Consider the following 25,862-nt stretch of genomic DNA (forward strand, 5'->3'; position numbering starts at 1 on the left):
TTATAAGGAAATACTATAAACAACTTTATTTTAGTAGACAACTTCAATGAAATGAGTAAATTCCTAGAAAAACACAATGATCAAAACTGACTCAAGAAGAAAGTGAAAATGAGTAGATCCATAACAAAAAAGATATTAAATAAGTAATTAAAAATCTCCCCACAAAGAAAATCTAGGCCTACATACCTTTGTTGGTGAATTCTGTCAGATATTTGCAGAAGATATATCAAACCTTCACAAACTCTTCCTGAAAATGCTGGAGAAAGGATTATTTTTCAGTTCATTTGATGAGGGAAGTTTTTACCGAAACTGCAACGAAATCTGAAAAAATAGTTGATTCAAATAATTTCTCTTTGAGTATGTCCTTAGGGAGTCCCTAAGTTGGTGATAATGGGGGCATTAGAGATGGGGTGTTCTGATGACTATTTTTCTCATTGTCTTACTTCTCCTTTGATTGTTATTATTCTATGGTTCACAATATACAATAGCTGACTGGGTCTCTGTGTGAAGTGTTCTTCATGTCTTCTGAACCATCAAACTTCATGATACCCAACAGATTATTTGAACTCCTCTAGATCCATCACACTCCACTGCTGTTTCTCTCTCTTTCCCTCCCTCCCTCTCTTCCTCCCTGAAGTTCCTTTAAATTCATTTTATTTTGTATATATCTAGTTGCTTTAGAAAAGATTCCCACAGCAGCATTATGAAGTCTTTGTACACGGGCCTTCTTTCCAAAGTGCTGACTGACCTTTCTGCTTTTGCTGACGTTGTCAGTCAGGATTCCTTGACCACATTTATCTCGGGGGGCCAAGTGATTTTCTTCCCAGCCAGCTTGGATTCCTTTCACTGCATATCTCAGTCAATGGATCTGTACATGACAGAAAGCAATGCTATGACCACAGCCTGTTTTTTTACACTACTTTTAGGGCCTAAGTGCATTAAGCAATGTGGAAGGGCATTTGTTTCTCCCAGTTCATTCCTGACAGTTGGACATCTCTTGAGGCAGCACCTCAACGATCTCTAGAGGGCAGTGTTGCTTAATTCCAAATGCCGAACTGATCATCGTGGGTCTCTGAATGCAAAACACTGGTGCAATAATTAAAATACAATTTCTCAGAAGTTTCCTTGGAAATGGAAATGACACAATGTTTTAAATGTGTGCTTGAAAACATTTTTATGAAAAAAATCTTTTAAACATAAATAAGGATAAATAAAACTAATGAGGTTAGTTTTCTCTCTTGCCAATTTGGTTACATCATCTCTCAGGCTCTCCTCACAAAATCAAGCTCTCTCCCAATGATTCCCACAGACCCTCACTCTCCTCCTCCCCTGTCAGGGTAACAGGCATTTATCCTTCATGTTTCATAACTCTGTGAGGGAGCCTCAAGACCTCTTCTCTGACTGTCCTTCATCTACCCCAACTAATGATGAATAAATTCTCATGGAAAACCAGGGACATTAAAGTGAAAGCAGTGCTCCTGGGAATGAGAAAAAGGGAAAAAAGAGGACATTTTAATAAATTTTTGATTATGCTCTTATACATTTCAGGAAATGAATTGGAAACACTTGAGACTAATGCTTGAGACTAATGCTTGAGACTAAGGTCAAAAATAGATGAGCTTATTGTGTCCTTCTGGGGCCACAAAAGCCAATCAACTCATTAGCTAAAAAATGTTTTATGTGGTTTCTAAATATAAATATAAAGAAGGCTTTTGTGTACTTTGGAAAGTACTCTTGAACAGGAAAAATTCTTGAGTGTAAAAGAAATCTATTTTCATTCTTGTTAATATTTGTTATTTTAAAATATTATCATAGTTGTACCTTATGATGCAATAAAATCATATTCTAATTCTAGAACCTACAATAGTGAATTGTACTGTTCTTTACACATATCAGTTCTTTTAATAAATATTTGTTCAACTGAGTTGACCAAGATTTCATTGCTCAATAAATGTAATTATTGCATAAAATTTGGATTTACTTCAAAAAAAGAAACAATTGCTTGTATCATTATTTGAATGAAGCAAGCATGAGCTCTGAAAAACAAATGTCTGTAAGTCCAAATATCAGGATCAAATTCACTAAGTAATTGCTCAAGTTGCCAATTTGCCCAAAAAATCATTGAGAAACACTTTAAATTGGCAAGTCCTTCAAAATGGCTTTATATCAACAAGTCATTTTTTCTTTTTCTGGAGAAAATATCTGTCTAAAATAAATCTTATATATACTGTGAGAAAACTGCCGAAACTGGAACTAATTTTTATGTCTCTTTATAAAGTTAGCATAAACATACCTCACATTTAAGAAAACAAAACTTGTCGTGTATATTTTCTTCATAAACTTTTAGAAGTTCCAGTGTTTTTGAAGATTAAACAATGTTTTAATATGACAAAATCAGATGATTCTCTTCTTTTATTTCTGGTTTAATTCACCAACGTTTTTAGGCTTACTCTTTATTTTCACCTAAATGAACTACATATGCTACATATTATAATTTTTCATATGTGAAACTTACAATGATGTGTTTCACAACTGAAGAACAAGTCATATTAACCCAATTGGGGGCTGGGAATTTATATATTTATTCATATATCCATTGTTTGAGCCCAGATGTCTAAGTAAAATAAAAATAGACAAATGAATCTCTAAGCAAAACTTTTTATCTGGCAATATATAAAAAAGAGAATTGCAATTTTGGGCATACATACTGACCAGGGTGGTCTTTGGTATGCATGAAGAAGAAAGAGAAAATTAGACATTTTATTAGAAAGAAAAATGTTATGTATTGTTTTGAAATAAAACTCATCACCATCAATGTTTACAGGAGCTGGCAAGCTCTGACTGATAAGTGACAGTGGTACGTAAAACTAGTCTTAGAATTACTGTGGTTCATTTCTGCAGCTACTAGGTAAAACTACTCTTAAAGTTATAGCAGGTCATTTTGGCAGCTGGCTTGTGAGATAACTCCTGGGCAGGTGCTTTGTGCCCAACTATTTTTTTTTCCTGCTCTCTCAATACTAATTTAGTTGTGTATGACAAGACAACTCCAATTCATATAATCAATTTTTACACACATTTATTAAACAAATCTTATATGTGGGTTATTGTTTTAGCAACCAAGTACATAGTGATGAAAAATAAAAATTGCATACATAGAATTTTAAAACAAGATAACAATTGCTTTCCATTTTACTTTTACCTATAGAAGGCATTCAAGGGTTTCAGAAGGCAGAGAAATCACTTCCACTTTAAGACATTTTAAAAAATTTCCAAAGAAATGTTGAATTTGAGATAGGATTTACAAGAGTGGTAGGATTCTTTAGTTAACAACAGAAAAAGAGTATGTTGGTTGGGGTGACTAGAAGAAACTAAAGTGGAAATGGAACATAATAGTGATAAGAGCTTATTTGTTTAGTGCTTGCTATATGTCAGGTCGTTTATATACATTATGTCAAGAAATTCTTAAAATAATCTGAAATCCCCACTCTGTAAATGGGGAAAATCAAGCTCAGAGATACCAAGTAAATTACTGAAGGTCACACAGCTCTTAGGTAGCACAGGCTGCATTTATTCCTCACTCACATAGATCTGTTGTTACTGGATTGGCATTCATACTGAAGAGGGCTAGAATTTAAGACTAGAAAACTACTCTAGGGAAACCTGTAGGTGAATAACTACATCTGTCAGTAGCTAAGCAATTTCTTGTTTCAATGACAGACATGATATTTACAGTGAAACTGACCTTTTTTTGTATGTAAGAGATTCAGCACAGGATTTCACTTCCTATGGCAGGATATGAAATTGACTCATGAGATCTGACCTTCTTAGTACTTTCAAGGTAAGACAGAGAAAAAAAAAAGAATCCCTAAAATTGACAAGTATGTTACAACCAGTTTCTAAATGTGAACACTGGGAGAAAGATAGTTGAAACACAAAGTTTAGATAAATTTTGTATTACACCGGACTGAATGCCTACCTTAGTTTTAGTTCAACATTTTCTAATACTAGATTTTCTTGGGAATAAATGAGGTGACAATTGCATCAAGATAAAGTAGCATGTCATGAAAATTATGCATAGAATATCTCTATGAAGTCAGATTTTTCCATCACTCAAATTAGATCTGTATTAGACATATGAAGACTTCTTCCCATAAAGTACCTTGCGTTAAGTAAGCTTGACTATATTTGGATCAGCTTTAGTTCATTTAGAATAAGCGCTCACATGCAAAAGTCTGGATTTAATACTGTAGTAATTAAGATGGCCTAAAAATATAGAGACATCTAATTTAAAAAAAAAAAACTTTACCTCTGGTTGAGAAGTAAAGCAGCAAATAAAATTTACTGCTTTACTCTGACTCATTTCTTCTATACCTGTTTCCATTCATCTCACATGTAAACACATACAGACACACACACACACTATACTGCTGAGTAATCTTTATGTGCTATTAGGAAGATGCATGCTGAAATTAATTACTGTGTCAGCTAACGACAGCACAAATGAAGATTCTCAGGTGTTATTTTGCTATCACACACATGAAATTCGTATTGTGGTGTCTTTGTCTCCTTTTTTGGATACTGTGATTAAAATTCCATCTATAGTGAGAGACTTCTTTGCAATATTAGAAAATAATATTTACTCTGTTGGAGATAAATGGTAAATGAACATTTTTGAATCTTGCCTGATTTGCACATACTCAGCTAAGGAAAATAATAGTCAAAAATTACAAGTGAAATACAAGAAGTTCAGCAAAGCTATCTTTGAATTCATGGTTTGCTGAAAAAATTTATTTCCTTACTTCTTTTAATTTAACAAGAAATCTTTCAGTAGAACTCATTTTAAAGAAAATAGTTATGTAATAGAAAAGCTAAGACGCAATATCAAAAGACAAATTTTTACTCTAATTTGGGTAATATTTTCTTAAACAAAATGATGCTATTAAATATAATTTAACAATTCCTGTATAACGAAAATTAAAACTAAAATTTTACCAACTATAGTTATAATAGCTTAAAGAACAGAGATATTTTTCTTGGATATGCATATATTTTATATTGAATGACTCAGAAATTATGCCTGTACCTGAGATCCTATCAATGTAATGAAGATGCTCCCTTTAGAGTAATGGCTTTCTGGTATAATTCTCTTACTTGACATTTAAGTAGCACAGGTTTTGTTGAATAAACCAGGTGGACTTGAGTGGTCAAAGAAAAGCAAAGGCATGCTTTGTGTTTTGAGGAGATATATAATTTCTGTTTTACAATCTAATTCTGTGCTTTTCAGCTTTTTGTGAGTGTACACCAGTCTGGGATTTGAGTTAATAAATTAATACAAGCTAACAAATTAGCTTCCTGCTATTTCATGAATGCTGGTAGAAGACATGAGACTCCAAGGCCAAAGGCAAAGAACTTTAAGAACATCAACAAATGTTTCCATTCCCCTAGTCCCCATGTTCTCCAGAAGTGATGCAGAGGCCTCTGCACGTGCCTCCCTGTGGCTAGAATGAAGGTAGCTGAACTAGAATTATGTCTGAATCTTCTAGCTTTCCTTTTGGCCAGGCTGCCACCCAGAGGCTGTACCAATCAGGCCTGCCTGAGGTCACTGATAAGAAAAAGAGACACATCATGCCCAGGAATTGTTAGGTCAGAATCCTGTGTTTTCAAAATAGTTTTATAAATTGCTCCTCCCCTTTTATCTGATTATTGTCCAGGAGGCAGACGAAAGGAGATGAACTCATTTTAGCCACATTCAGTGACCAAACTGTTATACTAAAGGGTATGGGCCAGGAAGAAATAAGAGAGTTCTAGTCAGAAATAAATTTTAGATGATTTTTGAAAAATCAATTCCACCTGTCGATGCCAGCACCTGAGGACAGTAAGGGTTATGAAAGTCTACTAGAAAATGGTGGGGACAGCAAGTCTTGCAGTGTGCCCTCCCACTGAAGTCAAACAGGCCAACTTCTGGTAAGAGTCACAAATTTGGCAATGAAGTGGTGACTTTTGCACAGAAGCATATAGTACTTTGTGCCCAATCTACAAAAGTGGATGTGTTGCCATGTCCAGTATGCTGATGAATTTCAGTGGTGAGGGTGACCCTCTAAGCAGTTAGGCTTGATCAGCAGCTTGATTCTAGTTGGTCTCAGACAGTGAGCCCTTACCATAGACATCTGAATGAGTGACTCAGTCTGTCAGATTGCCAGGTGATACTGGTTTCTGGAATTCATCTCCAAAGAGGGGTGTCTTTAATCTGCCAATCTGTAGTCTTCCAAGTGGCAGGCCAGACACGTGGGACATTGGTCAAAAAGGTTCATCAAGGGAAGTATTGCCCAGAGCCAGACCACATACTTGTTTGTTTTTAAATAGCTGGCACTACTCATCAGTAGTGGCTCAATGAATGCTATAAAATTTACATTTAGCTGAGCCATCAGTAAATTAGGCTTAGAAATTTAAGAGAATACCTCTGAATCGAGGACTCCAATAAGCTAGCTGTGTTTCTTCATTAAGGCAATGGAAATACTGTTTCTTCCAAAAGTGTAGCTGTCTCCTTTTGATATGAAGTGAAAATACTGCTGGTGTGACTATGTCATTTCATTTGGCTTAATGATGCCTGCTATGTTCTAGTTAATGAACTTAGACATCTTGCTACATGTTTATTGGCTGTGTTTATATTTTTCTATGAATTGTCTGTTTCCATTATTTGCCCACTTTTCTATTCAGCTGTTTCATACCTGCACTGCTTTGTTGAAAATCTTTTTATATTATGTTTTCCAGCTTTTTGTTGCTTGTCATTTATGGCATCTTTCATGACAGGAAGTTCATAATTTCTATGTAGTCAAGTTTATCATTATACCCATATCCGGTCTGGGTTTGGTGCATTACCTCAAAACTATTCTTCTTACTCCAATATTATTATTTCTGCATGTATTCTTGTAAATATTGTAATGTTTGAATCTTTAATCCATCTAGGATTTTTATATATGAAGATTAATAATTAAAATTGTTTTCTTCTATGAATAAAGTCAATATCCAAATAGCATTTATTTTATTATTCTTTCATCTCTCTCTGATTTAAAATGCCACTTTTTATATAAAAACTTAAAATATACTGAGATATATATTTTGGACTGTTCACCTAAGTCTAAAAAATTAATATAATGTGTTGACAGAACAGGAAAATAATTATGTGATGTTGTTTTGGAATAAATAGTAATTTTTGAAGATACTGCCTTGTAGTTTATAATGTCATTGCATTTCTCAGATCATGTTTAGATGTGCCTTTTAAACTTTTTCTTTATAATGTTACAGAATGATTATTAATAGAGTTTATATTAGAAAGAGATAGAATGAAATTTAGTTTTCATAAGAAACCATTCAACAGTCAACATATATTTGATCTTAAAGCATCCGAATAACTTGGATCATCTTGTCGGTAAGGCAAACTGTTGCTTTATTCTATATTCACACTTACTGTATTGTCAGAAAACTCATGATGTAAGTGAGGTTAAAGATGATGAAGGACCCACATCTTCTTTATGGCAATTTTATTTACCTTTATGTCAAGACCAAAAGCTACTAAAGCTATATAATTGACTCCTCAGTGTTAAATGAGGGAAATCTTGAATACTTCCTTTATTTAGTTACGGGCTAGAGAGGTTTCATTATCCACAAAGAGGTAACCTCTCTAACTACCAAATCATCTCATATGAAGCCCCTAAAATAAATCTTATGTTAATAACATTTTGATATTGGGGTCTGTTTCAAGCTTAATTACTGCTGTTTGGTTCTTGAGTTTAGCCTTCAGCCATATGTATTGAATGTAGTCATTCACGATTCAACATTGGATACATTAACCACTCTAAAAAGATGGATCCTTGATTTATTTTCTTTTCAGGTAAACAGGGAATGCATACCCAGCACTCTTTGCCTAATTACCTCATTTGATTTTCACTACCTTCCAGCAAGTTAGATTTTATTATGTTCACTTCACTGATGAGAAAGCCATATTCAAAGAGATTAAGTGTTCCACTCAATGCCATAAACGAATAGAGAAGAAATATGAAACTTGAAATCATATCTGTAAGATTCCAAAGTTCATGATCTCTCTGCTATACTGTCATTCAAATTAATTTTAAGGGGCTAGCTGAAAAATGTAAATTGATAGCCCTAAGCAATAACTCTGCTGATTGAGTGAATGGTGGTGTAATGCTTATAGACCCAGGAGGCAAACATTCTGGTTACCAATACTTGGCATTTGTATGACTTTAGGTCTCTGAGTCTGACATTATTAACCTGTAAAATGGAAGAAAAGACATGCTTTACCTCTTACATTAAATTATATAATTAAAAATTAATATATTTACTTATTTGTTGAATTCTACTATATACACAAAATAGTTTCAGAATGGTTACATAAATGGTTACAGGATTACAATGGTTACAAACTAAAAACAAATCTGCTAAGAGGAATTAGAGATTTGCCATTATTTTGTTTTTAAACTGAAAGGATGTGTTCAAAATACATACTCAACACTTACATCATTTCTCCCCACACTCTTTTCTTCAGGACAGTTATGTTATTAATTTGAATACAGCTTGGCTCCTTTGTTTCTGTTTATAGTCATTTCTGAATATATAAAAACCTGTCAGGGAAATATAACTCCCTTTCCTCTTTCTACCATTTCCACTCACTTGTTCTAGGGAAGCAATTTCTTTCGTTCTGATTTATACTTTCAATTCTATTTCTGAAAGTGAAAAAAAAAGAATAGATACATGTATATTTTCCTACTTCCAACATCATTGCTTTAAAATATAAACTATGTCCTTCTCCTGCTTAAAGCCCTCCAGTGACTTCCTGTCACTCTTTTGAGAAACACAAACTTCCTATGTAATCCTCTATAATTTAAATCATCTGCCTTTGACTATCTGATTTCATCTTCTAGCATTCTACCCTTGGTCATTCCACTATACCTACTTGAATATACATATACTTTTTCTAACCTCATGGTCTTTGAACTTGCTAAACTCTGCTCATATGCTCTTCACGCAGTTCACCCTCTTATGTTATTGAGTTATCTGCCCAAATGTTGCCTTCCCAGAGCTGCCATCTCTGGGCCACCTATTATTATTCTCTGTACTTGCCTTGCTTTGGTTGTCTTCATAACATTGCATGATTGCAAATTTTGCAATCATGTTTTCTCTTTTACTGCAATCTTTTCCTGATGTCATAATTTCCCTTTTGTCCCTGTCTTCCTTTAGTTTCATAGCAGCAATATACTCTGTGTCTTATTGAAAATAAAGGTTTTCTAACATCTTACTTTTTGTCTCGCAGAAACATCATTTCAAAGAATGGTTGCTTTTCATTCTTTAAACTGATTCTCTTATTTTGAATTACTGAAGTATTTCTCATCCTAGTGATTTTCTTCTATTTGAACATCTTTACAGTGGCCGATCTATGCATTCAGTGTTTATGAATTGAGACGAGTTCTCCAAAGTGTGTGTGCATCTATGGTAGAATCTTTTAGGGGGAGCTAAAGGAAGAAGAGAAATTTTATTTATTGTGGCTTTACTTTGCCAGTTTGGACATCATGGTAGCCTATGAGATAGACTATGGAAGAAGTGCTCCATCTAAAGGCTTTCTCAGTAAGGAGCAAGACATCTTTGCTTAAGAAGGTCCTGTCAAATGTGTTGGGAACAGCCAGCTGTGCCACTTTCTCTGTAAGTTAAATGGTCCCCCTCATAGCAAGACTATTACCCCATGAGTACGGAAAGCAAGGAGTAAGCATTTTTTAAGTTTTATTTTAAATTGGCACATAATGTGAGTGAACATATTTAAACATTCTTGAACTTTTGTCTATGTTTTTCTCAGTCATATTAGTAAACTTGAAGTTATTCCTCAAATATATAACCACCTACAGTGTGGGCCATTTTCATCATATATCCCTGCACTTCTGACAAAGGCATTGTCAGAGTCTGCTTCACATACTGCAGGACTTCCTTGCTTGTACTTTTCACTTTTCTGGTTTACAGACTAAATAGACTTTCCTGTATTTTTCTATATCTCTCCTCAGTTCAGTGAGAATCTGGAGAAGAGGTGGCAATTAAAGACTGTATTCAAGTCATCATTGTTACTGAAAGTCACGTACTCTTTTAATTTTTAAATTATTTTAATGTCATATAAAAATAGACAAAATAGTATAATAAGCTCTAGACACTCACCTCTCAGTTGGTTTATGTAACAAATATAACTTACCCAGTGATGGTATTTTTCTTCACTTAACATTTTACAAGACCAAGGCTTTTTTAGATCAATTTTCCCATACATTGTGATAAGGATGATATGTTACATGGATCTTGATTTGTTTTTCACTTCCTATTCTAAGCATGTCAACATCTCAGAGCCAAGAGCTACCTTTATCAAATGAGCAGTCCTAGAAGAAAAGGAAATCATCACCAGTGAGAAGAGTGTACAAATAATGAGCAGTAATCTTTGAAATGTTAGTGGAAACATGTCAGGTTGGGACATTCCATCTATTTTCCCTCTTGTCTTATGGCCTCCCGGCGCCCTAGAAGGCTGAGGGAAGGAAAAGAGATAAATTTTCAGGGAGAGCATTTTCCACAAATCCTACTTTGTTACCTTAAGTTTGCCCAATGCACCCAGGTCACAGGGCTGCCCCAATATGCAGATGTTGCAAATCCTTTCTTGGCCATTCCTTGGGGCTCCCTTACCTTACTAAAATTTCATTTTCCAGTCCTTCCTGATTCCTGACCCTTTTCTCTCCTTTTATGTTCTGGTCACAGACTCCTGGCTTTTGTAATAAAATTGATTTTCCAGGTTTTGATCTCTCTGTCTAAGTTCTTGGGACTTCCTCATCCTCTGGCTCCTGGTACCAGGTTCAAGCTGCTGCAATTTCATTTTTATTTCCAGTTTAGGCAGCAGAGTAGAGTATGTAATGGCATAGACTATCAAACAAGAATGTGTGTGTTTGAAATCTGGCTTCACATTCTGTCAGTTAAGGGTCCTGGGCAAGTAACTTTGTTTCTCTAGTGTCCTCCTCTATAAAATAGGGATTATAATAATATGAACTTCAAAGGATTGTTCCAAGGAAGAAATAAGTTAATATTTGGAATATGCTTAGAATAGTGGCTGATATATGGTAATTGCCATAAACATTTTATTTTATAAGTGTAGAAAACAAAATAACCAATTAGCCCAGTCTAACTCCCACAAGTTGAGAAGCAAACTAGTATTTCTTTGCTTCTGTTTTCTAAAAGAAAGCCCTGGTGTTTAAAGCTAAATTATTTTCTGCTTTGGATTTACAATCTTCCAAACCAGAAGTTGGGGCAGCTGCTTCTCTCTGGATCTTTATGTCATACTTCCAGAAAGCCCAAAAGTTGGCACTCAACAGCAATAAATGAATGTTTCCAAAGTTTAGGGCTCTAATTAATTCAAAACTGTTGCAAAACAACAAGGATTTTGCATTTAGAGAATATAAAATGTACAGACACATAGAAGATGGACACATCATAGGGTAAGTTTTCCTCAAGTGTACCTAAAAGCCAGGGCAATGGGCCTGTAAATCCAATGCAAGATGAATGAGATACCTGATTCCAAGTTTTAAGATGAACTCTACTGTTTCACAAAAGAAATTACTTTAAATGTACTTTTAGGTCACATGTCCTTATGCTTTTATTAAGTAGGAACATCCCAAAATATTTTTCACTTTTCTACCTCATTCTCGGATTCATTTGTGGCTGAATTTCAGTTTCTCCCAATTTAGAATATCTTATTATGTCCAGATGCTGGAATCCTGTCTATCCAGATGATCCCTGGTTCCATGGCCAAGTTTCTGCTAGGGTCAAGTTGACATTTTGTTTTTCTTCCAAGTTCAGATATTATACAATGATTGGAAAAAAGCTTCCCATTTTTCAAATTAGGTTAATTAACATTTACCTATAAGTAATTCTCATTCTTTTAAAATTTTTATTAAATATTTAAATTCTGAAAATACTTATTCTCAATTGTCTTTGATGAGTTTCTATTTTGAATTGAGATTATCTTAATCTTTTCAGTTATCACTGGAGACGAAAAAACATGTCTTTTGTGATTACTTTAGAAGGAACTGAGTTAATACAGGTTCTGTTTCCATAAAAAGGAAGAAAACACAAGTTAATCAAAGATTCAGCATGAGTTCTGTATAACGGCAGTCAAATGTGTTATTACAAACTCTTTGTTATTAGTCAGCTACAGGAAAGAGAGGGCAGAAAGAATAAGAAACTCAAATCTGACCTTTTGGAAATAACTTTTATCCAGATGAACTCCAAAGTGTAGATGTATGCCAGTGAAAAAAGGTTACAATAAATTCTTCCAAAATTTACCAAACAGACTCATTTGACCCGGTGGTGCAATAAATATTGGGACTTGCTTACTTGATGTCCAAACAATCAACAATATTCTGTTTAGCACACAATAAGTAGATTTGTTAAATAATAAGTCTTTAAAATTTTTATGCATGTGTTTTTTTTTTCATGCAGGAATTCATTTGAATCAAAACAGCTGTTAAACTCTTTTGCCATAAATGGGTTAACTTCCCTCACTCCCAATCCACCTAGGACAATGGTTCTCAAGTGAGAGCAATTTTGCCCCCTCAGGGACCTTTGGCAACATTTGCACAGATTTTTGGTTTTTACTACTGGAAATAATTGTAACTACTGTCATCCACTGAGTAGAGAACAGAGATGCTGATAAACATCCTACAATCCACAGGATACCCTCCCACAACAAAGACATCTCACCCCAGATGGCAATAGTGCCAAAGTTGAGAAACCCTAAATTACATGGTTTAAAATATAGATAGTCAAAAAAAAAGGTTATTCATAACCAAGAACTCATGTCATTTCAAGGAAGTTGGAGAAACTTCCCTTACCCTTCAACAATAAAATGAAACTGACAGAAATTTCAAAATTCCTTTCTAGAAATATAATGTATGTAACCATAGATGTGTTTTCCTTTTAATCTCCCCTTAGTTTACCTGATGTGGGTAAGATTTGCATTTGTGGGGGAGAAAGTGTTGTCGTTGTTGTAATGTGTTTGAAGCGTTTTGTAATCTGTAGAAATCTATATAGACATAAGGAGATATTGTAAAGATAAAAGCTCAGGGCATCCTTGAAGAGTTCTTTGTTGTCTGATGCTGTTGCTGACTTTGTACAACCACCACTCCTGGATATTTTATTTAACCTATAGGTCATTCCCTTTGAGCGCAATCTTGCAATCTTTATCCCTACTCCTTTCCCCTACCTCTTTCTTGTGGTGTTTTCAGCACAAAGAATATTGAGGTAGTTTCAGTATTGAGCCCTGCTTTCCTGAAATGTCAAAGGTTGGTTTTCATATTCTATACAAATTAGGAAAATCCAGTTGTTCTTCTGTAAAAATTTTTCCTGCAGACTTACTTCCTGGCAGCTGGCAGAGCAGACAGTCACTGTGGCTTCAATCTGATCAAGTTTTTTAAAGGACTTCAGTACCACCCAATTGTCTCTGGGCCTCTGGATAATGATTTATTATTATGGGAATACTTCTCATTGCTTGCACTAGGAGCTTTCACAAATAGCTTCCTTAGTTCCAGATACAGTTGGAAGATCAATTGGAGGAGCAAATGCTCTAGAAGGTCTGAACCTTTGCTTTACTGATGAGAGAAGTCAGAGGATGTATAATCATCACAGCCAGAAACAGACATCTTTAATGTTTGAAAACAGGAACATTTTAAAGACGACCCTGCAACCTGTAGAAAGCTGGTAATTATGTAATTGAATCAATTATATCAAATGTTTTATAAGTTCCAATAAAATCTTCATAGAAATTTTGTCATTCCAATATTCTAATAGAAAGCATCGTATCTTGATAATACCAAGAGAAATGATCAGAACTCACATGTTAACATCGGCTGCCAAAGTGGCATTGTGATATGGTGGTCTGACATGAGATGCTCATTGTTCTATGATGTTCTATGAAGGCATACTTCTCTAGGCTACTGTTGAATCTTACACAGCTGAGGATGGAAATGGAGAAACAGCTGTTAGAAACTGTAACTGAAGGAAATGAAAATGTAAAGCACCTGATGAGGATGCTGTGGCATAACCTGACTTCGTGTTTAGATGGTAATTAGTACCAGCCTAAAGAAGGGGGAGCCAATGCCACGCCAGTAACCTTCTGGGCCATGGTTGTTCACTGATGAAGGATTTGTCTTCCTTACATTTTCCTTTCTTTTTCATTTAGCAAAAACTTCCCCAAATCTTACTATTCACATTCACGCTTACCTCCTTTCCTCAAATCTCAGAAAAAGCAGTGGCATTTCTCTTTTCAATACAAGTTCTCCACTTGTGCTTTTAATCCCATTTCTTTCAGCCACCTCCAGGGCCTTATTCGAGTTATTTTTTGATCTCTATTTTCTTTTGTTTTCATTTTCCCTTCTATTGAAATATAATGACATATAGTAAAGCATACAATTCAATTGTAAGTGTACAACTTTATATTTTTATATATGTATACTCATGTAATCAACACATTATTCACATTTATACATACACACTGTATATATGAATATATATGTGGCTACTATTAGTACTAACTACCAGCTGCTAACTACTCCTACTAACTACTGTCCTGACCTCTATTACCATAGATCATTTTGCTTGCTTTATAATTTCCGATAAATGGAATCATTGCTAATCTTATATCTGAGACAATCAATTATGCTGTGCTGTCCATTCTTTTCAATGCTCTGCATAACTGCATTGTATGAATAGATCATGATTTATTTATCCATCCTACTGTTGATGGGCATGGGGTTGTTTCCAGCATGAGAGTTGTATAAGTAATGTTGTCATGAACATTATAATACAATTTTTTAGTGAATGCATTCAACTCATTTCTTTCACAAGTCTACTCAGACTAGAATCAAAGGGCTATGGGATATACATAGGTCTATCTTTGGTGGATACATACTAAACAGTTTTTTAAAGTGTTTGTGACATTTTTTATTCCTACTAGTACTGTATGAGTTCTAATCACTTTGCCTGCTTTTTATCCTTTGGTGTTATCTCTTCTTCATTTTAGCCACTCCGGTGAAAAATAATGGTAATTCATTGTGTTTTTAATTTGCATTTCCCTGATAATGTATAATGTTGCTTAGTAACCTTTTATATACTTTTTGGCTGTCTAGATCCTCTTTTATTAAGTGACTATTCGAGTCTTTTGGTCATTTTTTAAAAATCTAGATTGTTAATCTTTTTCTTCTAATATATCTTAGTAGCTTTTGGAATTAAGTTTGTGTCAGATACGTGTATTGGGAAAATCAGTCTGTAGCTTACATTTTCATGTTCTTTATTTTATCTTTTTAGAAACAGCAAGTACTTATTTTAAATAAAGTCCAATTTATCAAACTTTTACTTTATGAATAGCAATTTTATATCCTTTTTAAGAAATCTTTATCTACCCCATCATAAAGATATTCTCCTATGTTAACTGCTAGAAATTATTCTCTTTTGTTAACGCCTATGTTAACTGCTAGTATACTTCTGCTTTTCTCATTTAAATCTATAATATCTTTTCAACTACTTTTACTTATGTTATAAAGTAGGGGGTCATAATTCAGTTTTGAATATGGTTATACAATTGAGCCAATCAATAGATATTAAAAAACCATTTGTTAAAAAAAATGAGCCTTATGTCACCGAACTACATTGGTACCCTAGTTATATATCAGATGAGTATGTGTACTTAGTCTGGTTCTGGAAGCTCTCTTCCTGTTCTGTTGGTATAACTGTTTATCTTTGAATAAATCCTACTCTACCTTAAATACTTTAGCTTTATAATAATTTGTGATATATGATAATGTAAATCATCCAGTGTTGCTGTTCTTAAAGATTATCTTGAATATTCTAGGCCTTTGGTTTCTATACAAATTTTAGATTCAGCATTTCAGTTTATACACATATTGCACTGAATATATATCGAACTGGGGAGAGCTAGCCTTTTTAAACCATTTTAAAACCATTTAAACCATTTTAAACTTAAACTATTTTAAACATAAAACTCATTTTAAACCATTGAGTCTACTAATATATGAATACGAATCTTTCCCCATTTTTTTAGATCTTTTTTGGTTTCTCCCAACAATAATATATAGGTTTCTGGCAGAGGTCATGCACTTTTTTTGTTTAAAAAATTTCTGGAAATTTGATGTTTTGTTGTCTTATAAATAACATTGGTTTTAAAACTTAGTTTTCAAATTATTTATGTTGAGTGACTAAAATACATTTGATTTTTAACATTAAGTTTTTGGCTTTTTCTAAGAAAAGCATACATTTTCAAGTACAATCATGTCTTCTTATGAGATAACAGTGTTAGTTCTTAATTTTTGGTTTTTATAAATTTATTGATTTTCATTTTTCTTACTGTACTGGTTAGAACCTTCACTACCATTTATCATTTGTCAAAGTTAGACTCTTGCCTCTCCCAACAGACACTAGGAGACAGGGGCCTTATCTTCAGGTGCAGGCTAGTAACACACAGTAAATTCTTCTGGCAGTCTTGAGCGTTCCCAGCAGGCATTTTAAAGAAGTGGGGTCATCCCTGGGAAAAAATCTTAATCTGCAAGAAGCCATGTTAGAGTTTGGTTAAGGAGAGACTCTTTGCCACTTCTTATAAGAACTGTGCTGTACCTGCTACTATCTTCACTTCCCAATTTTTTTTCTTAACCAAATACAATGATTATATTATATAATATGGTCTAGATTTCTGTTTTCCATTCAAATAATTTTTGTTGTGATTTTCAAAACAAAATAGATATATCCTTGTTTTAAGACTTTTCTGCAGATTTTGCCTTTTGGCTATCACATCCTTCTTGAAATTCTCTTCTCCCTTGCCTACAGAAAGACCACTTTATTCTTCTAGCTCTTCAAGTATTTCTTTTATTCTTCCCTTGGTCATGTCTCTGCCTCTTGACAATCCTTAAAAACTAGTGTTTACTTGGTTGGACCCTCTGTACTTACTAAACTGATCACTATACTGTAGCCTGGAATTTTCCTAAATTTTAATGTTTAATTCCTCCTGTATTTCAGACATATTGAGGCAGGAGAATAGGGTCTGGAGGTGGGAAACCTAAGGCTGATTCATGCTGACTGCCTAGAACTGAATCAAAAAGAAAATCCCACCTCTCCACACAGAAATAAAAAGGGATTAAAGACTACTCCCTTTGCACTGCATTGCAGAAGCAAAATAGAAAGTACCTCTGATTGGTACCCTCCTGCAACTAATCAGGCAAGTCATGGTCCTAGTCTTCATTTACATAGGGTGTAACTAAGTAACCAATGGGAAGCGGCTAGAGGGGTATTTAAACCCCCCAAAATTCTGTAACCAGCACTTTAGAGCCGCTTGCTCGAGCCTGCTCCCATTCTGTGGATTGTACTTTGGTTTCGGTAAATCTGTGCTTTCGTTGCTTCATTCTTTTGTTGCTTTGTGCATTTTGTCCAATTCTTAGTTCAAAATGCCAAGAATCTGGACAAGTCCTAGTCAAGACCCTCCACTGGTAACAATATTTCAGCCATCTGGTGAAGATCTTCTAGCTGGGTGGATCCCTGTAAGAATGTAATTGACAACAACCAAGTTTAATGCTGCTATGTCTGCGTAATTAGCGTATATCCTTCTTAGAAGGCTTTACTCTTTTCCTTCAGTCAATTCATGCCTTAACTCATTATTTAGCATTCTAAATTAAACTTAAATATTATCTCTTGTGAGAAACCTTCCCCAAACCTTTGAGGATTATTCTATCTTTTCTTATCATAAAACTTTTTTCTCTAGCAATTATGTAACTTATTATAGTTATTAAAATTATTGACTCTATTTTTGCCCCAATAAAACATTTGTGATAGCTTGTCTTTATTTAACATATCTCTTTAAGAACAGGGTTCCAGCATAGGATGTTGAATTAGACTAGAATTTCCTTCCAACTCCACAGGTATTAGGACTTTGTTAGTTCATTTTCTATCTTTGAACCTAATTAAGTGTCATGCATTTGGAAGATGATCAATGCGGTATTTTCCATGAATGGTCACTAAGTGGCTTGTGAAAAACAGAAGGTATGCAATCTTGTCTTCTCTTACCACTGTCTTGCCTGATGGTTACAATTCTGGAATACAGAAAAGCAGAAGAAGCTTGGTGCAGACGTCCTTAACATCCCTTGAGACTCTCATAGAGAAGGGTTAGCTAAGTATAGGCTGGAGCTACAGAGATTATCCATTCTTCTCAAGAATCTGGTTTTCAGATGGATGACTGACACCTTTTGTAAAAGATAGGGACATTTTGTATATATTTGGAGAACTGACACATTTTTAAGTCTCTAGCTTTGATACATTTCTAAATTGAGCTTGTCTTCATTTAATATGCCACTCTTAAAACAGTATTCAAGTATTGAGTGTTGAAATAGACTAGCATTTTCTCTCAGCTCTAAAATTTGCATTTCATTCATAAGGTATCAACAAATAAAATAAGTGCATTCATCTCTTCATGAATGAACCAGTTAACGAGTTAGTAATTTTGGTAATTTGCAGGTGTTTGCTGTTTTAAGTTCCATCTCTGTTTCAATTTTAACATCACCTAGATTTTTCTTTTTTTCAGAAATCTTGTTAGTATCATGACAATTTCAAAGTTCTTTGTTGTTAGGTTTTTAAGAATAGTGTTCCATACCCCTAATATTTTTAGATCAAAAATTTTATTCTTCGAAGTCTACCAACATCTCATTTCTAGAACTTTCTCTAACTACTGTCTTGACCTCATCTCCATTCTGGAGTTAATAACTAAATATTTTCTTTGCTCTCCATCATTCCACATCTTCCTTCTTACATGAGCTTTGTCTCTCTTCTTGTCTTCAAAACCTTTTGTGGCTCATACCCTGGATAGAAAATGCATCCTTTTTAAAAAAAATTTTGGATCAAATCATATTTGTTTCCACTTCATTTTGTTACAGGCTTTCTTCTTTCTTGTCATCATTGTGACCTACTCATCCAGCAAACATATTAACATGTCTACTATCAATATTTATATTTTACAACTTTATCTACAAGAGAAAAACTTATAAATAATACTATTTTCTCTATAGCACATGAATTTGAAAAGTAAAAAGAATAGTTTTGAAAGTCATATATCCTCCAAATCTCTTACAATTTGAAAAATAAGTTATTAATAAAGTAAAGCACTTTAAATACTTTCAGGAATGAAGTGGGATTAAAATATTAAAATGACAAAACAGAACTATTGCTATAATAATGCCTAATGTCTATGAAGTGATTAAAATGTGCCACAAACTATGTTAAATGACCCAAAGGCATTATTTCATGTAGTCTTCAGAACAACTTTTTGAAGTTTGAACTTCTATTATTTCCGTTTTACAGATGAGGCTACTGAGGTTTAGAAAAATTAAAGAATGTGTCCAAGATCCTACAGCATGTAGAAGGAAAAGCTACAGGCCTATAATCTTCCTCATGATGTGACTCTTGCCTATTTTTCCAGGTAGACAAATGGGAAATTCAAACACATTGGAGATAGCAATAGTGATACTGAATGAAGATGAAACTATCACTAACAGTTTTTACTGTATCATTTTCCATTATTTGGCTGTCATTTGAAACAAGAATGTCCTAGTATTTTTTAAGCTAGGTCTAGTCCCCATTTTTCTTAGTTTTCCTTAGAAGAAAGTGGACAGTCTATCAAATAAAGTGTCCTGAAAATGACCTCAAGATATATACTCATCAAAAGAACAGCCTGCCACCTCAACAAGAAAATAACGGACCCTCTGCAAAAGGCCAGCTTGTAGGAGAATACTTGGGTATTTGGGAAACAACTTCAGGTAAAAGGAAAGAAATTACTTAATGTAATGTAAAATGACACTCCCACATTATGTAAATTCACCCTTAGCTTATTTTTTAAAAAGAATTCTGTACAACTTTACTCAGAAAATATTTTATGTTAAACTTTACTCAGAAAATATTTTATGTTAAACTTTTCTATTTATTCCAAAATCAACTTTAACTCTTCTCCAAAGTTCTTTGGAAGTTCATTTTTATATATCTTAATTGTGATGTTCTTCTTCAATCTTTATAGCATCTATATAGCAAGGGTTTTTAAGATCACATTTTTTTTGTAAGTTGGAAAATGTTTTCCAAGTATCCAACTTTTTCCAGTTGGACTAACAAAATGTTGCCTTCCAGATACAAAACTAATCAGGTTGGTTTAACTTGACTGCAATGGAATGAATAAGACTGTGTTTCGAATCAGGTGTTCCCTCCATTAACCTGATCAAATTATGTTTCAACTAATGGATACACAGCTTTAGGAACACCCTGAAAAGCGTAGAAGAGTGAGCAAACTATATTAATATTGTTGCAAAGATGACTTTTGTCCACTATATGTGGCCTGTGGAGTCAGGTCTTGGTTGGTTATCATAAAGCAATTAATGAGGACATTGGCACCTAATGGTGGTGGTAGGGGAAAGGTGAATATGAAGGTCTCCTTGTCTATAGATATGCTATTTCCTTTTAGTAAAACACACTGCCCTCTTCCCATCTACTCAACTCTTACTCATCCTGAGATGCTAAACTGAAAATTGGTTCAGAAATATGCATATGAAACTACTGAGTTAGGGAGCTGGGCCTTGGTCATCTCACAGACCACCGGCAGTATCTAACTCCATACGGAATTATCTTCCTCTTTTTTTTTTTTTTTTTTTGCGACCCAGAGAGTTTCTTTTTATTTTAAAAACTATTCTGAAGTTGGAAAACAAAACAAAATGAAATAAGAACTAGATCATGCACTCTTCCAAAACCTTACTTTTTATATCTCAGTAAGAATTTAATGCCTGTTTCCCCCTGGTTCTGTTGTGATGATTCCCTCTTGGGTCAGTGAATGCTTTACAACTAGCTGTTGGTATAAGAGAGGGCCTCAGGATCAACGAAAGTGCAGTGCCATTTCCAAAATCCTTCTCACTGTTCTCAGTAACTTGAGGCTAGTACATGTTACTCAGATATTTACACTTATATTAAAGAGCTGGGTTAATTAATAAGATAATTATCAAAACCTAGGGCTAAATAAGATTTTGCATGGTAATCTTTCACCTTCTCATAAGACCAAATTTAAACTCTACAGATAATTATTATATTTTCTACTTCTAATACTACAGCCTCTGATTATGATCCAGCTCAGGTATTTCTTATGCAATGTAATTACATGACCATCTAAAATTTGGTTGAGATGCAAAGGGTAGGAAACAAAGAGCTCTTGATTAATCTCTTTTAGTGATTATGCACTAGTCCAGTTTGATTCTTTTTTGTTGCAAATCATTTATGATCCTAATGTGTCTTCCAAAACAGTCACTTTGCCTTGTTTTCAGAGAAAAAGTCCAATATTAATAGAAATAGTAATGAAGCAGAAATTTTCTGAGCACTTATATTTTAGAAAGGCCCAGTTCCTATGCACACAAAATGTAAAGTCTAGGAAAATGTTTTAAAAGTCAATTCTTTTTTCATTATTTTTAAAATTGTATATATTTGTGGTGTACAACATGTTATGACATATGCATACGTTGTGAAATGGCTAAGTCAAGTTATCCTGTGCATTACCTCGCATATTTATCATTTATTAGTGGTGAAAACACTTTAAAATCTACTATCTTGGAAATTTTTAAGTACACAATGCATTGTTATTAACTATAGTCACCATGATATACAATAGATCTCTTGAACTTATTCCTTCTGTCCAACTGATATTTTGTATCACTTGACCAACATCTTTCCAATATCACCACCCGTGTCTCCCACAGCTCCTGGTAACCACTGTTTTAATCTCTGCTTCTATGAGTTCAGCTATTTTTAGATTCCACATGTGGTATGTAAGATCATGTGGTATTTGTCTTTCTGTGCCTGGCTTATTTCACTTAACAGAAGGGTCCATCTCTGGGTATGGATAATAAGGGTTCTTCTTTAATAAAAAGCAAACACAAAAGCCATGATAAATAAAACATTTCAAATGGCAATGTAATTTTATATCAGATGTAATTGACAAAAATCATAAAGAAAATCCTGATAATTAAAAGCTATTCACTCTTTGATACAAAAGTTCTTTCAGGGAAGACAGGGTTGTGGGGCAGTGCTTAAGGGCATTGACCCTAGAGTAAGGCTGCTTGGGATTAAACACTGGCTTCACCACTTACTAATTGTGGAGCAGACTTTGTGACTTAACGCTTTTCAATTTCAGTTTCCTCATTTCCAAAGTGAGAATAATGGTAGAAGCAACCTCATGGGTTGTTGCAAACATTAATTGAGCTAATATAAGTAAAGTGCTTAGCAAAGCAAGTATTCGTGTTTTATTTATTTATTTATTTATTTATTTATTTATTTATTTATGTATTTATGTATTTTGAGACTGAGTTTTGATCTTGTTGCCCATGCTGGAGTGCAATGGCTGGATCTTAGCTCACTGCAACCTCCGCCTCCTGGGTTCAAGTGATTCTCCTGCCTTAGCCTCTTGAGTAGCTGGGATTACAGGTGCCTGCCACCACACCCATCTAATTTTTTATATTTTTGGTAGAGATGGGATTTCACCATGTTGTCCAGGCTGTTCTCGAATTCCTGACCTCAGGTGATCCACTTGCTTCGGCCTCCCAAAGTGCTGAGATTATAGGCGTGAGCCACCAGGCCCAGCCGTATTCATGTTTTACCCATTAACCATTGTTCATATTGTTATTCATTTGACAGTTATTGACTGAGTAGCAACCAGTTTCTGAGATATGGAAGATAAGTAAGTCCCCTGCTCTCAGTGAGCTTACATTCCAAAGAGGAAGGTGAATATACAAACTACTATAAATCACATTACGTGAATAACAGAGATGTGCCAATTGTGCTATAGAAAGGAAGAAATGGGGCAGAAAACAGATAAAGATAGAAACAATAAAGTTACATTTTTATGTGAAACAAGATAGCTCTTTGGACCTCTTGAAACAGAATAATTAGATGCTTCATCAAACTCCAATTTGATTTTTAAATCATAGTAAATAAAATTATCTTATAAAACCAAGTTTACTGGTATTTAATAGATTAAGAATGAAAATAGAACACTCAAACTTGGCAACACCATCCCATCTATGTACCAGGGTGAGGAGTTATGGACAATATTATAAGTAAACATAACTAAAAAATATGTTTTCCAAATAGGAAAGTAATTGCTCCTCTAAAAATTGTAAAGAAATAATTGTTTCAAGAACAGCACTGATGAGAGTGATTTTACCCTCAAATGCCACTTTAATTTCAAACCTCAGACAAGTCTAAACACGCATATGCAATATGATAGGAAAATCACTCATTTTTTAGACCTAGGTCTTCAGCAGGCAATGAACAGTGTTTAATGCCATATGGAGGTAATTTAATAAGAATTTTGCAATACTTGAACAAGCATTATCACCAAATCTGCTAAATGGAGTTAGTGATTTTGTTTCTTTCTAGCATAATGATTTAGTTGTGCAATGGTGCTGTCACCAGATGAGATTAATCACAATAATGATGCGTCTTTTTGCTAAGGACGTTATCATAAATCATTTGAATACAGCCTAAGAGAAAAGGCTTCTAGTTAAACTTTCTAAATGTTACAAAATGGTCATAAAGCATGAGCTGTTGAAAATAGGAATTATTTTTATTTCAGTTTGGGGATCATATGGCAAAATTATTATTCATTGACACTGAAGTTATTTCAGACCCCCCCCCCGCCACACACACACAAATCTCAAGAGATATTGAAAATGATGATTCGTATTGTTCCAATTACATTCATATGACCTTAGTTAAGTGATTTAAAATTGGGCATTAGTTTCCTTATCTGTAAAACAAAAATAATAATATCTATCTCTTAGAATTTTTGTGAGGCAACATATGTGAAAAGTACTTTATAGCCTAAAAGTAATTCTTTTTCTCTTCTTTTTCCAACTCTGTCAACTTATTTTTCATCCTGCTCTCCTTCTTCTACTTTTTCTTTATCGTCTTCTTTTTTTCTCTCTTTTCTTTATCTTCTTCTTTTTCCTTTTTCCTTGTTTTTTTTTTTCTATTATTAATTAGGCCTAATTTTACCAGGTCAAACATATATGATGTATGCCTTCAGAAATATTTTGCATGCTTGCTTCATCATCACAGAGCTAAAGCTAAAATCAAGGAAATTTTTACTGTTCTACAATTGTAGGTTCCAGTTTATGCAATTTTCATATTGTGTTTGTTTTTTCTAAAATCTACTTACTAATCTTAACAATATAGTATCAAATTGACATTATAATCTCTTAGTTGAAAGCTTAGCACATGAACTTTAATTTCCTTATCTTTTAATAATAATAAATTTAAAACAATGGAGCATGATATGTAGTTTAAAATATTCAACTGTTACATCATTTTAATCACACAATCTGTAACACCTGCTTTCTTTATGGCAGTTTTGTGAAAATTAACTAGAAAATAATTGCAAAATTCATTGCAAATTCTGAAAAATTTGAAATACTGTTAATGAGAAAGTATGGAAAATATTATTTTAACATTTCAGTTCCCAAATTGTTTTTTTCTTTGATTTTTGTCTTTTTAAAAAATTTTAGTTAGTTTATCAATAATTACTAATGATAAGTATAATGCCTAATGTAGCCACATACACTGACCACTAGAAAGACGAAGAAAATATGAGCTTCTCCTAAAATAAGCTAAGGGTTAATTTTTAAAAATCTCTTTGGAATATAACATTTTATAAACATTTTCATCATATACACACTATATTTCATTCCCCTTAATTGAAATAGAAAGAATGAAGTTAATTTCAGTACTTGCAAAAACATTTTAAATATCCGGTGGTTGCTTTTTAATAAATGTGTCTTAGCCCATTTTGTCCTCCTGTAACAAAATCTCACACTGAGCAATTTATAAACAACAGGAATTTATTTTTCAGAATTCAGGGGTCTGAGAAGTCCAAGATCAAAGTGCCTGCACCTAATTCTGGTGAGGGCCTTCTTGCTGTGTCCTCACATGGGAGAAGGTGAAAGTGCAAGCTAAAAAGGGACAAACTTTCCCATTCAAGACTTCTAATAAGGACACCTAATCCCATTCACAAGGGAGGTGCCCTCCTGACCTAATCACATCCCAAACACCCAATCTCTCAACACCAACACACTGGCAACACCTGAATTTTGGAGGGGCCACATTGAAACCATAGCAAGATGAAACCTTTTAATTGATCACGCCATAGGATACCAGAACTGGAAAATCTGGTTTTCTGTGGTGCATTGGATATTCTAACTTAATAATCAAAGAGGGACTTGAACAGAAGTTGAGGTTCCTTCAGTAGGATAGGGTGATGGGGGTGATTAGTCAATTACCTGTAAGAAAAAAGGGAAAGAGCAGTATGTGTTTCCTCCAGTTGCTTATTTTTTAAAAATTTTTATTTTATTTTATTATTTTTTTTGAGACAGAGTTTTGCTCTTCTCATTCAGGCTAGAATGAAATGACGCGATCTCAGCTCACTGCAACCTCTGCCTCCTGGGTTCAAGTGATTCTCCTGCCTCAGCCTCCTGAGTAGCCGGGACTACAGGCGTGTACCTCTACACCTGGCTAAATTGTTTTGTTTTTGTTTGTTTTGTTTGTTTGTTTGTTTGTTTGTTTGTATTTTTAGTAGACACGGGGTTTTACCATTTTGGCCAGGCTGGTCAAACTCCTGACCTCAGGTGATCTGTTGGCCTCGGCCTCTCAAAGTACTGGGATTACAGGCGTGAGCCACTGCGCCCAGCCTCCAATTGCTT

Source organism: Homo sapiens, chromosome 12 (assembly GCF_000001405.40).
Source record: "Homo sapiens chromosome 12, GRCh38.p14 Primary Assembly".
Taxonomy (NCBI): Eukaryota; Metazoa; Chordata; class Mammalia; order Primates; family Hominidae; genus Homo; species Homo sapiens.